At 34.5% G+C, this 13,729-nt stretch overlaps 1 protein-coding gene across 22 annotated transcripts in view; it reads left to right on the top strand.

Annotated features, from left to right (window-relative positions):
* Positions 1-13,729, top strand: part of ZBBX (zinc finger B-box domain containing) — a 229,485-nt gene that overhangs the window by 29,012 nt on the left and 186,744 nt on the right. For 14 of the 22 annotated variants that reach the window (XR_924174.3, XR_924173.2, XR_924177.3 and 11 more), the window contains 4 exons: positions 5,088-5,169; positions 5,925-6,041; positions 10,301-10,414; positions 12,899-12,989. Coding sequence is in view for 18 of the 22 variants with exons in the window: in XM_024453753.2 (XP_024309521.1) it covers positions 5,974-6,041; positions 10,301-10,414; positions 12,899-12,989 (273 nt within the window). In the remaining 4 variants the exon portion in view is untranslated. Of the gene's footprint in view, positions 1-5,087; positions 5,170-5,924; positions 6,042-10,070; positions 10,188-10,300; positions 10,415-11,950; positions 12,096-12,898; positions 12,990-13,729 lie in introns of those variants that run through there. The other 8 variants (XM_047448953.1, XM_047448952.1, XM_017007189.3 and 5 more) reach the window with 5 other exon arrangements.

The following is a 13,729-nucleotide window of genomic DNA, read 5'->3' as shown; positions in this document are numbered from 1 at the left end:
TATACAAGGAGAAGCTCGGTTTCGATGGAGGGAATCTTCATGATACAGGCAGCCTTCGAATTGAGCATTGAGTAGAATAAAACTTGGTGAGCAGAGAGGTAAACACTAAAGCTCATTATGTAAAAAAGATGAAAGCAGAGATGCTAAGGGTAAAGCACAATCTTGATGCTCCATTTTCTTCTCTAGGTAGTTTCTAAGGCTGTGCCTTCTCTAGGTAGTTTCTAAGGCTGCCCCTTTCCCTGAACCGTGAGCTCTCTGGAGGTCTTATAGAAGCCCACAGCTTGACAAGTCAAGTCACAAATCAGACACCTTTTGTTTAATATCCTGCAAATTAGAGGGGGAGAGGATCCTTACCATTTTCTACATGGATAAGCTGAAGCTCAGAGATTTCTATCACACAAAGATCTTATGACTTTAAATCCAGTGAATTTAGTCTACCTAGGTTTTCTGACCTTAAATTCAGTGCCTTTTAATATTGTTTATTATTTTTAATCAAAAGTATTTTAAAATGGTATCTTGTCCCTTGATATCTAAAGGCAAAGTTTCTCAGTTGTTCTCAAGAGAACCTGCCTATAGAGCATAAAAAATGGGCAACTTGGGTACCATTTAGCACCTTGAAGCAGTATTTTACTATCAGATATCTTGTTTGGCTGAAAGATTGAATGCAACCTGAAGTCAATACCTATATTAGTCCATTCTCACACTGCTATGAAGAAATACCCAAGACTGGGTTATTTACAAAGGAAAGAGGTTTGATTCACAGTTCTGCAGGGCTGGGGAGGCCTCAGGAAACTTATAATCATGGCAGAAAGGAAAGCAAACACATCCTTCTTCACATGGTGGCAGGAAAGAGAAGGATGACAGCTAAGTGAAAGGGGATAGCCCTTATAAAACCATCAGATCTCATGAGAACTTACTATCACGAAAATAGCGTGGGGGAAACTGTCCCCATGATTCAATTATCTCCTACCAGGGCCCTCCCACCACATGTGGGAATTATGGGGATTACAATTCAAGATGAGATTTGGGTGGAGACACAGCCAAACTATATCAATACCTGCTTTACTTTTAGAGCTTTTGCTATGAGAATGTGGCACACATTTATTTAGTAGGACACTCCAGCACAAGATACTATTCTAGAAATCATGTATTATCAGTTCTTGCCTTATAATTTTTTAAATATTTTAAAAAATATATATATTTAAAATAAGGATAATTACAGATAGAAGAAATGTGAAAAGTAAAATTCTTTTAATTATTAAAAGCAACTATTTTAAATTCTCATTTAACATTTCTTTCTTGGGTCTCTGATTTCTAAGTACTATGGTACTAAATGCCTAAACATGTTAATTCACCCAAAGTTGTTTGCTAATTAGACCATTTCAAAATATTGCTACAGTAAGGGAAAATCCCTATTTATGGTATGGTTTTTAAGTCTTGTGCCTAGCATGATCTGAGTCATTAGAAGAATTAACTAAACTTAGATAAGTTTTCAGTTACAAAAAGTGGCCCATCTTGTAAACAGTGGTTTCCCAAACCTCCCATTCTGCCAATGGTGTTCTCTTGCACCTCTGGCTGAATGCTCTGAGTTTCTACCTGTATAGAGCATTGTACGTTCCTTGTTTCCATTCTGTGGCAGTAGGTTTTGATGTGTGGGTTGCTTTCTCAAAATAGGAACATGTGTAGAAGGATCATCAAACCATCATGGACAATTTTGGGTTATATTGGGTATTTTGTGTGAGGAAAAATGGGGTTGTAGACAGAAAAATAATGTAGTCTAATAAATCAGGTAACTAGAAATTTTTCCAAATCACTACTAAATTTTTGGTATTTAGTTATAAAAAAAACTGAATGACCAAAAGACACAAGGAAGTATAAGTTTTGCATAGTAAGGAGTTTATCTGTATTCCTCTGGTTTTATTAGGTGTCTAAAATTTTGTGCTTTGCTATTCTTGCTGCTGACATTGTTATATCCTTGCTATCCCCAGAAAGGTGACTAAATTCTCTGTTGGCTTTACAAAAGGAAACAGGCAGAATAATATGACTCAGAATTATAATCTCCCCTTTTTCTTCATACAAGGAAATTAGCTTATGTAGGTGACTAGATAAAATATGTAATTGAGAAGAAGCCTTACTAATTGCATTCAGTGAAGTGAAATCCCCCTTGAATAAGACCATTTATTGGTTAAATAACATTATCAGCAGAGCTATAAATCTGAGTCATCTTATTGTAATGAGATTTACAGAAGTTCGTTCATTTTTTGTATCAGTAAAATCAATCATATATCAGTTTAGCTTTATATATGTACATACACATAAAATTATATTGTATATCTCAATGTGTAAGCAAAATTATAGCAATTTAGATTATTTAGATTATTTTAATAATCAGACAGATTAACTTTGGAAATTATTTTATCTCTTTAATGATAATAATAACATTATGGAAGTTTTTGTGACAAAGTTATCAATTGTAGGCAAGAGGCCAGTATTTGGATTCCCTGAATATGATCAGAAAGCAATACAGATTCCATGTTATGGAGCAGGATTATTCCTGGAGGTTTTTGAAAGGTGCCTTTGGTAGCTGCTATTTGATGAAAATGGGACAAATATACTACCTACAAAAATGAGGGAGAAAAAAGAGAATTACATTTGAAAATGCTACCACCTCCCTCCCAAAAAGCAAACCAAATCTTAGTTTGCCATTCCTATGGTATCTTTATTTCTTGTTGACACTTAATTTAGCTTTGAGAGACAGGACTTGGTGGTTGAAAATTGAGTCTGAGTGAGACGCCTGCTGTAGATTCTTCTATCAAAATGCCCCATGATATTGTGGTTGCTTTTGTGGATTTCCCCTTGATTGTGAGGGCCTCAAGGGAAGACACCACGGCTTATTTGCCATCATGACTTCAATACCTGGGACCACTAATAGGGATCACAAAGGAACAGTTAAATACATGTTTGTGGATTGAAGGTACAAACATAACTAGTCCCATAAGGCAACCGCTACCTTATTTAAAATGTAGTAATTATTTTGTGTAATTCCATTTTGCAATTATATTTAGAGAATAAATTCCTAGAGAATTTCCTCCAAAATGGTGAAGATCTACCCTTTCAGGTTAGATTTAATTTTTGGAGATAGTCCAAGTAATTTGGAGGTAGGTTTGAGTGAAAAAAAAATAGTTGCTCCTATTGCACAATCATTTTTAATTTCAAATGAGGCACAACAAGATGAATTTGTGTGTTTGTTGGTGTATAATGGATTCTTTTTTTTTTCTTTTTTGAGACAGAGTCTCACTCTGTCACCCAGACTGGAGTGCAGTGGTGCGATCTTGGCCCACTGCAATCTCGACCTCCCGGGTTCAAGCGATTCTCGTGCCTCAGCCTCCCAAGTAGTTGGGATTACAAGTGTATGCCACCACGCCTGGCTAATTTTTGTATTTTTAGTAGAGATGGGGTTTCACCATGTTAGTCAGGCTGGTCTCGAACTCCTGACCTCAAGTCATCTGCCCACCTTGGCCTCCCAAGGTACTGGGATTACAGGTGTCAGCCACCGCGTCCAGCCATAAAATGGATTCTCTAGACAGTTTCAAAAGAGGCGTCCCAAAAATGTTTTCAATCAGTGGTTGCATCGTTGAAATATAAGATAGTCTCCCAAAGGAACAACGATGAAGAACCACTTATTTGGTTGTGTAGACTTTGATGTCACAATAGCCTTTTATTAGGTAACTCCAGTTTTGGTGCTGTCCTTCCTTAAGTCTTAGAGCAAAGCTTCTAGACTTACGTTTTCCCTGCTAAATCCCATTAGACTCTTGTTAGCTACAGAATAAATTCCAAATGCTATAAACTTGACATTTAAAGCCACTCATTATTGGGCCTCAGCCACTATATCTAAACTCATGTTTATTTTTTTTCTTCCACGTAACCTGCACACCAAGCAAGTGTAACTATTCATTAGTCCCTTATCCAAGAGCTATTCTTTCCAACAGTATGGATTGTTCATCTAATCCATATCTTTATCTGTAAGCCTCCTTTCTCCTTCAAAGCTTTACTTAAATGCTAGCCAGCTGAATTCTCTCTTTTCTTTCACTTCCTATATTATCACATGTATAAATTTTATAGCCCTTATAATTTTTACCTTGTTTTATGGCTTTTATATTTAGGGTCCTATATGCCCTATTTGACTCTAAACCATTTGAGCTCAGAAAACAAACCTCCCTGGGCCTTGACTCCTCTCCATACCTCTCAGCACATTGCCTTGTATATAGCAGAACCTTAATAAATGTTTATTGTGGTTATGAGCACACACATAGGAACACATATATAAATGACAGCATCAAATGGTGTGGGCATTTAAGTCTATGGTCACTATAATATTGACTCATATTTCTTTAAAAGCTCTTAGAACTTGGAAATTTTTATTCCTATAAAAATCTAATAGTTGTTCATGTGATTTAGTAATTCAGCATTACAGAGTAAATTATTATAGAACCATGAATAATTGGGATACTTGGGAAACAGGGTGTTCTGAATAATTTTATTTTCTGGTTAACTCAAAGTTAAGCAGAAAATCCTTTTTGTTTCTTGTTGAAAAATTCTTTCTAAAATATGCTAATTTCTGATCTGAGCCAAAGAGTATCATTAAAATTTTCTTTGATAAATGAGGATATTAGAATGCCTTTGGGTAATTATTACATACCTTAATTTTCATTTTATATAACCATATATATATATAAAAAGGATATTGGGTTTAGATTGTATCTCAAAGATTCTTTTCGTTTCTCTCTGCACGGCCTTGGATATTATTTTTAGATAGAACAAATACTTGGTATACTTTTATAGCCTTAGCAATAGAAAGAGCCAGAATATGTGCTTTAGTTTGTTTTAATGAATGTATCCTTCACTTTTAGTTGACTATTTCCCTAGTCTTTTGCTATACAGTTTACCCTTGAACATCATAGGTTTGAACTGTGCAGATCCACTTATAAATAATTTTTTAAAAAATAATAGTTACACTTGTGTGCCTGTCCCTCTTGCTTTCCCTTCCATGTCGTCTACCACTTCCATCTCTGCCACTCCTGAGACAGGACCAACTCCTCTTCATCTTCGTCTTCCTCAGCCTGCTCAATGTGAAGCCCCTGATCATGATTCACTTCCACTTAATAAATAGTAAATATATTTTCTCTTCTTTATGATTTTCTCAATAACATTTTCTGTTATCTAGCTTACTTTTTAAAAGAATATAGTATGTACATACATATAACATGCATAATATATTCATTGATTATGTTATCAGTAAGGCTTCTGATGAACAATAAGTTAATAGTAAAATTTGGGGGAAATTAGAAGTTGTACACAGATTTTTGGGGGATTGGTGCCCCTAACCCTTATGTTGTTGAAGGGTCAGCTGTACATAAATATTGGTGAAATTTTAATTCCATCAGACGTGTTACATTTCTAACTTTATTAGCACATAAATAGTTACATAACTTAAAATACAGTCATTTCTAGGTTTCCACAGGAGACTGGTTCCAGTAACTCCCTCACACCCTGCAAACACCAAAATCCTAGGATGCTCAGGTTCCTTATATAAAATGGCATAGTATTTGCATATAGCCTACACATAACCTACTGTATACTTTAAATCAGCTCTTGCTTACTTATAATACTTAATACAGTATAAATGCTATGTAAATAGTTGTACTTTTTTTGTATTTTTTATTCTAATATTTTTGATTATCTGGTTGATATGTGGCTGAAGGGGACAAAGGGCTAACAGTGTATAATTTTTGCTGTTTAAATTTTGATTCAGCCTTTTTGCTCATAAGGTTTTAAAAACATTCCTGAATTATATGGAGTTTTGAATTTGTAACTTATACTGCTTCACCTCTGCCATAATTCTTTTGTCTTTGTTACTTTTACAGAAGTGTTTACAAATCAGAATAACTTTTAGACAATATTAAGGTGGTAATCATGAACAGAAAAGATTTTGTAGTTCTTCCATGGGGAAAACCTGGAAATTCTGTAAAGCTAAAATATAGGTGAGTTCATATATATTTATTTCTTAATAGGAATAGTTGCAAAGCTTCTGTATATTGTAATTTTGACTATTTTGTGAATTCTTATCTTCATTTTTCACATTCCTGTATTTTTATCTATAAGAATATAGCTTTGAAATACTATAAATCTATAATAGTTTAAAAATGAGGATTAAAAATATTTATTCCACAAGAACCAATGTGACAAGTTATAAAGGTTTGGTTCATTACCTATTAAAGTAATACAACAGAATGTTAAACATATTTTTCATGGCCCTTATTCAAAGTTAAGTAAGGATTACCCTGAAATTTAGGGAGACTATTAGGATAAGAGACCCTAACCAGGAAATAGAAAGCACTACATACTTTAGCCCTTTACATAAAGGATGTTATGTTGAATTGACCTTTTCCAGGAGAGGTCTGTCCTAGATGACTGGGAGATGCATTCAGCCAGAGCCAAACAATTACTGGCATCCTGGGAATTTTATGACCTTGCAGGGGTATGGGAGAGTATAGCTCCCTGTTTGTCTTTGATGTCACCTACAGTCACTGGAAATACTTAGGGCTTTCCTCTTCAATATCAGTAAGAGCCAGCCAGCATAGGATGAAGACAGACTTTTTTTTTTTAGACGAAGTCTTGCTCCCTCACCCAGGCTGGAGTGCACTGGCACGGTCTCGGCTCACTGCAACCTCCACCTCCCGGCCTCAGGCAATTCTCCTGCCTCAGCCACCGGAGTAGCTGGGATTACAGGCGCACGCTACCATGCCTGGCTAATGTTTGTATTTTTAATAGAGATGGTGCTTGGCCATGTTGGCCAGGTTGGTTTACTCCTGACCTTAAGTAATCCTCTCACCTCTACCTCCCAAAGTGCTGGGATTACAAGTGTGAGCCAGTGCACCCAGCCCAGACTATCATTTTTAATTGGAGTTTCTGAGTTTTTTGATCCAGATCAATAGTTTTGTGGTTATTTGGTGTCTTCAAAGCTATTCTAATGCTCTCTTCACTTTGAGATATGGGGTATAAAAGTATTGTGTAAACTGGAAATGTTATAAAAATATATGGCATTATCATTTTTAGGTATACCATGTATTTGGTGGGGAGGGGAGCTATCTAATTGCTAGGACTACCAATTTTGTTAATAGAAAAAGAAAAAGGGACATGTGTTATTTGATTTTAGTGACATATTTCAGGGCCACGTGTCTATACCTGTAAACATTTAGCCAACAAACATTAATTAAGTGTGCATTTTCTATACACTGTGCTAGGGAATGATGGCTACAAAAGCAGGAAGTCATAGTCCTGGCACTCCGAAAGCTTAGAGAGAATATGAATGAGTACAGTTACACTGACAATATAGAATGAAGCATGGTGTGATGTGTAAAGGCAAGGGACTAGGAGAGAACATGGCTCAAACTGCTAGAGCAGGAGTGAGGAGGTACCCAAGTTCTGAGTGAGAGATGCAGTTAGTTGGGTAGTTATTGGGTGAAACTTATGCAAAGACACAGAGACCACATGATTTTGGGGACTTCTCAGAGACCACATGATTTTGGGGACTTCTCAGACATATCCAATTGTCTAAGAAGAAAGGTGGAGAAAAAGGCAGGGTCTAGATGATAACTAATGTGTATGTCATAGTAAAGAGTTTGGAAATAGGTTGGAATCACTATTCCCTGGCCTGTACGTCTCCCTGATCCACAAACCATTAAAAACCAGGACAGGAATACCCACTCACAGTAATTACCGTAGAGTTCTCTTTCTCACTTTTTCCGTGTTCCAAGCCTGTTCTCCTTGGACATTGCCTTTACATTGTCTGACATTCTGGTGTTCTTCCAGTCCTCCTGACCTCTTTCTCAGCCCCTAAACCATTTCAATCTTATTTCTAGCCCTTGGATTTGTTTTGTTGATTAGAAATTATTTTCTAATTTTCATATCATCTGTGTTGCCTCTAATCACGTAGTTTGATGCATAATATTTAAAATAACAATTTTTTTTCTATATAGGCAACATACATATTTTTGCTGAACTTATCATTTTGGAAATCTTAAAGAAATCTCTTAAACAATAAATTAAATAAATAAAGCTAAGGATCAACCTTAGCTTTCCTCAAGTGGCCTTGCTTTCCCTTTATGGCTCCGTGTATAACATTGTCTCCAGGGGGAATCCTCTGTTTTGTGTGAGATCCATACAATCCAACCTTGCATAAACTTGACCGCTTGGTCAGTAGGCCACTCTTTTTCTACAGCCTTAACCTTTTCCTCTACCACAGTGGGACTTCAAAAACGTCAGAAGTCTTCTAAGCAAATGAGTGACACAATCATATTTGTTTTTTTAACTCTTCTCCTGTAAGCAGTTTGTGAAGTGTGGTAGGCTTTCAAGACTTTAAGCATGGAGATAAACTGTTACTCATCCTGAACTGTACCTGTGGCCCATTTCAGAATGGTCTGTTTCAGGAAAAGACACCATTGTCCTCCTGACAGCTCAAATAAGAAACATGGGATTATTTTAGATTTCTTCCTTGTTCCCTCTCTAATCAGTCACCTACTTCTGGTCAGTTTCCAACTTGTTAATTATATCTTCTTAAATTTCTCAAAAGCTCCATTTTTCTCTCCATTGCCCCTGCTCAGTCAGACTAGCCCAAATTCTCTATTATTTGGATTACTGGAATAGTCTACTAATTGGTTGTCTTGCTTCTAGCCTTGCACCCTCTAATTGATTTCCTTTGATACAGCCTGAGTGATCTTTCTAAATGTAAGTCTGATCAATTCTCTTAAAACCCTTTAATGATCCTCATTGTTCATACAATATAAATCCCAATTTCTCATCATGGCTTACAAGGCTCTTCATGATCCTATCCACTTCAGCAGTTTTATTTTTTGCTACTTTTCCTATTCTGCACTTAATGTCTGGTCACAGAGAACTTCTAGTTCCTTGACCCACCCATTGCTCTTTGCTACCTATGTCCACACTCCTTTCTTTCTGGAACACTGCACTCAGCACTTCCCTTTGACTGGCTAAGTCCTTTCATCCTTTAGGTTTCAGCTCATACTTCACCTTCTCCAGGAACTGTTCCTGCATTCACAGGGCTGGGGTATGTGCTGTTTCTTTGTGCCCAGGTAGCCCCCTGTACTTCCCCAATGACAGCACTATTCCACTATATTTCAATTACCTTTATGCTCATCTATTCCTCTCAATACTGGAAGCTCCATTGTATTTCACATCCTATCACCTAGCAGTGTTTGTTTGAGGTAGTAGCTGCATTACTCATTGTGGAGTAGATACAATGCAAATAAATGCCTCTCTTTCTGTATCTTAGCCAGCTTCTCTGAACCCTCTGGACAGCCCTTCCTATCACTTTCTGTATATCTTCCTCGATTGTGTCCGCTTAGGACATATCCTTGGCCCGCTTGCTTTTTGGTAATTGCTTGCTACCTCTAGAAAGATTTCTCCTTTATGAACTTTATTATGCCTTGATTTTGTTCCATGCCATAGCATGCGTGGGTGCCCACACTGCTTGATTGTAGTAAAACACTAATGTAATATTGAAGGAAGAGATTTGGACTTACAATAGTAAAAGCTAGAGAATTAGTTTGGGTTAGATCTATGAAAGAAAGAGTCGGTGGCTAATACTGATAACCAGACTTCGTAAAATGAAGAAAATGTCTTTTGTCAAAAACTTAGTGAGTTTCAGATGTTATCAAAATCTCTTGTACAGGAAGCTCCCGTACCAAAACTGTTAATAGGGGCTTTATTCTTAATAGGTCTCAAACAGGTACTACCTTTTCCTCCTCATCATACATATATGACATAAAGGTAGAGATTTAAAATTTTGGAGGTGACCAGTTCAGCAAAAATGTATATTTCGTCTATTGTTTTAAATACTGTGCTTCAAACTACTTGACTACATTGGAGGCAAAACAATATGAAAATTGGACAATATTTTTATTTCGTTTTCTGTTTGTATGTCATAGATATTTGTTCATATATAAAAACATGCCTTATATATGAAGTTAATTATAATTTTGAACCCCTAGCAATGTAATAATTAAAACAAAAGTCTAAGATTTGAAGAGATAATTTGCTTCAGGATTTTGATGGAAGGCAAATGCTAACTTTAAAAACCAGATTTCGGAGAAGTACAAAAGAAATAGGTAAAATATTTTATTTATTATTCATGATTCTAATTTAACAGGAAAAGATTATATAAAATTATTTTGGCTTCGCTTGTTTTTCTGCTTTCTCCATTTAAATCTTATGTCTTCAGAAATGCTCAAGAACTGCGAATGGAGAAAGTACAGTTAGAGTTTGAGAACCAAGAGATGGAGAAGAAACTGCAAGAATTCCGATCCACAAGAAACAAAGAAAAGGAAGATAGAGAGTGAGTGAAACTCTTAGAGAATTTTAGATGAATCAACTAAATTATATAAAGAACTATTTTATATACTGTTGTCATTCCAATAAAAACATTTAATGGATGGATAATTTCTGACTTTTCCTGATGAACGAGCAATAGCAAAGGCCTTCTATTTTTTGTTTTTGTGCCACTTAGATGAGACATGTTGCTTTTTAAAATTACCATTACTTTTGTTTCTTCTGAACATTATTGGGTCTTATCCTTTCTTATTTCCTTTTTATTTAACTTTTGGCTTCTCATTGATTTATGGTCTGGAATGTTTATGACAGCAGTGCACACTTTACCTTTTGCTCTCAGAAAATTGCCATCAATAACAAATAAACACCAGTTTATGTTTAGAGCCATTTTTATGTATTCAAAAGCTTTTGGGAGCAAGAGTTCACATATATATACATAATGAAGATCTGAAAAATAAATGCTATTACATATATATATGTATATATATATATATATATACATATATATAATCAGAATTGCTCAAACCCTTATGTATATTTAAAATATATTTAGCAAATGCTGGTTAGCTGAAATTTTATTAATGAGAACTTTCTAATATTATGCTTATATATTTGTACTAATTATACTGAATTTGTTGTTTTGTTATAAAATAATATAAATGATAACAAACAGAACTAATAATTATGTGATGGAAATTCTCTCTTCTTAGCTCTAGGCTAACTCCCAGCCCATTTTCTAGCACCCATTTTAATGACTAAAAATTTTCTCCACAAATGTCTTATCTTTGTGTAAGTATACGTATATACATGTGTGTGAATGTATTTTGTTTTCAGTGAGTATATCTGTTGCATATATTGTATCGTTTACTTTTTTTTTTTTACAAATGAGTTCATCTAAAAATATGGGAATTAATTCATGTCCTACTATTTTACTTAATATATCTTAATGCTCCTATCACATCAGAATGCATTGATGTGATAAGAAAATTAGCCTAATTTTCTTAGTGGCTACGTAGTATTTTTTGTGTGGATATAATAGCATTTATTTTTCAGATCTTTATTATGTTTTTAGTATCTTATGATTATAAATGCTGCCATGAACATGCTTCTTCATGTATTTTCGCTTACATATGCAAAGCTATTTGTGGGATAAATTCCTACCTCTGTAATTTTAGGTCAATGTGTTATTTGCATTTTACATTGTGATAGACATTGAGAAATTGTCTTCCAAATAGGTGTCAAAAGTTCATAATCTTTTCCTACAGTGTATGAGAGTGCATGTTTCATGTCCGTTTGCTGGTACTAAATATCACCAAACTGTTTGTATATTAAATTAACTTTTGTTTAGTCCTCAAAGTGATGACCATCAAATACCTAGAAGTACCTTCTTAACGTTTAATGACAATTCAAATGTGTTCATTATACTTTCAGTAGTATTTATCTTTAGAGTCCATTTCTTTGAAAAATATGCATAACTTATATACATACCCCCTCTAATAGAGCATTGGTTTAATCAGAGCATCTCATGTTGTATGTCATCCAGGATGACAAAGTTTATTATGTGTCTTGCTGCTTTTAATGACCCAGTGGCCAATTCTTTTACCTTCACTGATTTGGACTTAGTTTGGACTTCTAAATGGATCATGATACTCATCTGAGAATCGGAGTTGCTGGAATCAGCCCTGATAGTGAGTTTTTCTTAGCTGTGGAAGCTTTTCTAGATGATTCTTAACATTCTAAAGCTTGACTGAGTTTTCAGAATAGTTACATTGTTTTCTGAGGTCACACAGATATTAAATGTCATAGCCAGAATGAGAACCTGCCACTCACTAGCCAGGAAAATAGAAGTCTAGTGCTCCAATCTTAATTATTTATTCTGTGTGATGTTGGGCAACTTTTTGTCTTATTGTTATTTTTTAATGATAATTGGACTCTCTGCCTTGATAACTTCAAAAATATTTTGTTATGCTCAAGTAAACAAAGCTCAAGTGCTTTAAAAACTGTACAGCTAAAGTATGCCTTCTTTGTAATCTCTGTTATGTTTCAATGTGGGAGATCATTAGAGGTTTTAACAAGGAATTCATCACTTACTAGATCCACTGAATATTTTGGGGTATTGGTTTGCTTGCTTTTCTTCTTTACATTTGTGGACATTTAGCTTTTAAAATTTCATAAAGACCTGTAAAGTTTCCTACAAATCAATAAAGCTATCTTTAGTCATTGTGAATATCAAGGAAATAGAATTCTTCATTTGTGTTTGGACATTTCATTTTATTCATTTCTCCACAAAGGTCATAAATATGATAAAGCTACATTTTAAAATTACTGAGGATATTGTGACATTATTGATATTTATTTTTCATGTTTTGCTTGTTTACTGCATGTTAACAACTGAATTTCCATTTTCTGAAACAGGAACACTGTATTTCTTTTCATTAAAGGGAGAAATGTGTTTAGTGATTACATTTTATCTTGTTTATATATATTAAAGGTCAAGCGAGTATTACTGGAAATCTGGAAAAGTGGGCAAATTGGTCAATCAATCATATATGATGTCACAAAATAAAGGAAATGTTGTTAAGGTAAGAAGATACTATTTGATTCTTATGCATTTTGCTAAGCAAGAAGATATTCTTTTTTAGGTCTTGCATTTTCTTCTATACTCAGGAATATACTCTTCTTATTTTAACAACTTTGCATATTATTCACTTGTTGATTTATTTTGCAGGGTAATATGCAACTTTCATTATTCAATTATGTTTTTGTTTTTCAGCTACAAACTGATTTCAAAATTTTACCTTGCAGTGAATTTTCCCACATCCCAAACTGAATTTTTCCATTCAGTGTGGATCTGGTTTAAAGTATATAAAATAGAACTAAATACTTCTAAACTAAGGTGAAAGCTATTGTTATTTAATATAACAAATGAGAGACTTTATTCCTACTTTTATATCACATTAGTTTAATGTTTTATATTCTGCTTCAATAATAATTTATTATTCATATACTGTTGATTCCATGTGTAAAGATACTCAAGAAAAAAATACTTTTCAGTTTCCCAGCTATAGAATTGCTGCTCCTTTACTGTGTGCTATAAAATATAATATTATATTTAAGATGAAAATCAGATAAGTGTCTTTACATAAAGAAAACAATTTTGCTTCTGGATTCTTTAGTGCAAGATTCGTGACTTTGTAAGTATTAGCTTACACAGTTTTTATTTTTTACGTACCTATCATTAAACTTTCATTGGGTCAGTTGGAATCTACAAAGATCTTACTTGGCGCTTCTAAAGTTTTTGGCTTTGAGAAAGCGTTTTATT

The sequence above is a fragment of the Homo sapiens genome, chromosome 3 (assembly GCF_000001405.40).
Source record: "Homo sapiens chromosome 3, GRCh38.p14 Primary Assembly".
In the NCBI taxonomy this organism is placed as follows: Eukaryota; Metazoa; Chordata; class Mammalia; order Primates; family Hominidae; genus Homo; species Homo sapiens.
Note: the sequence above shows the minus strand (reverse complement) of the source record. Positions and strands in the feature narration are given on the sequence as shown.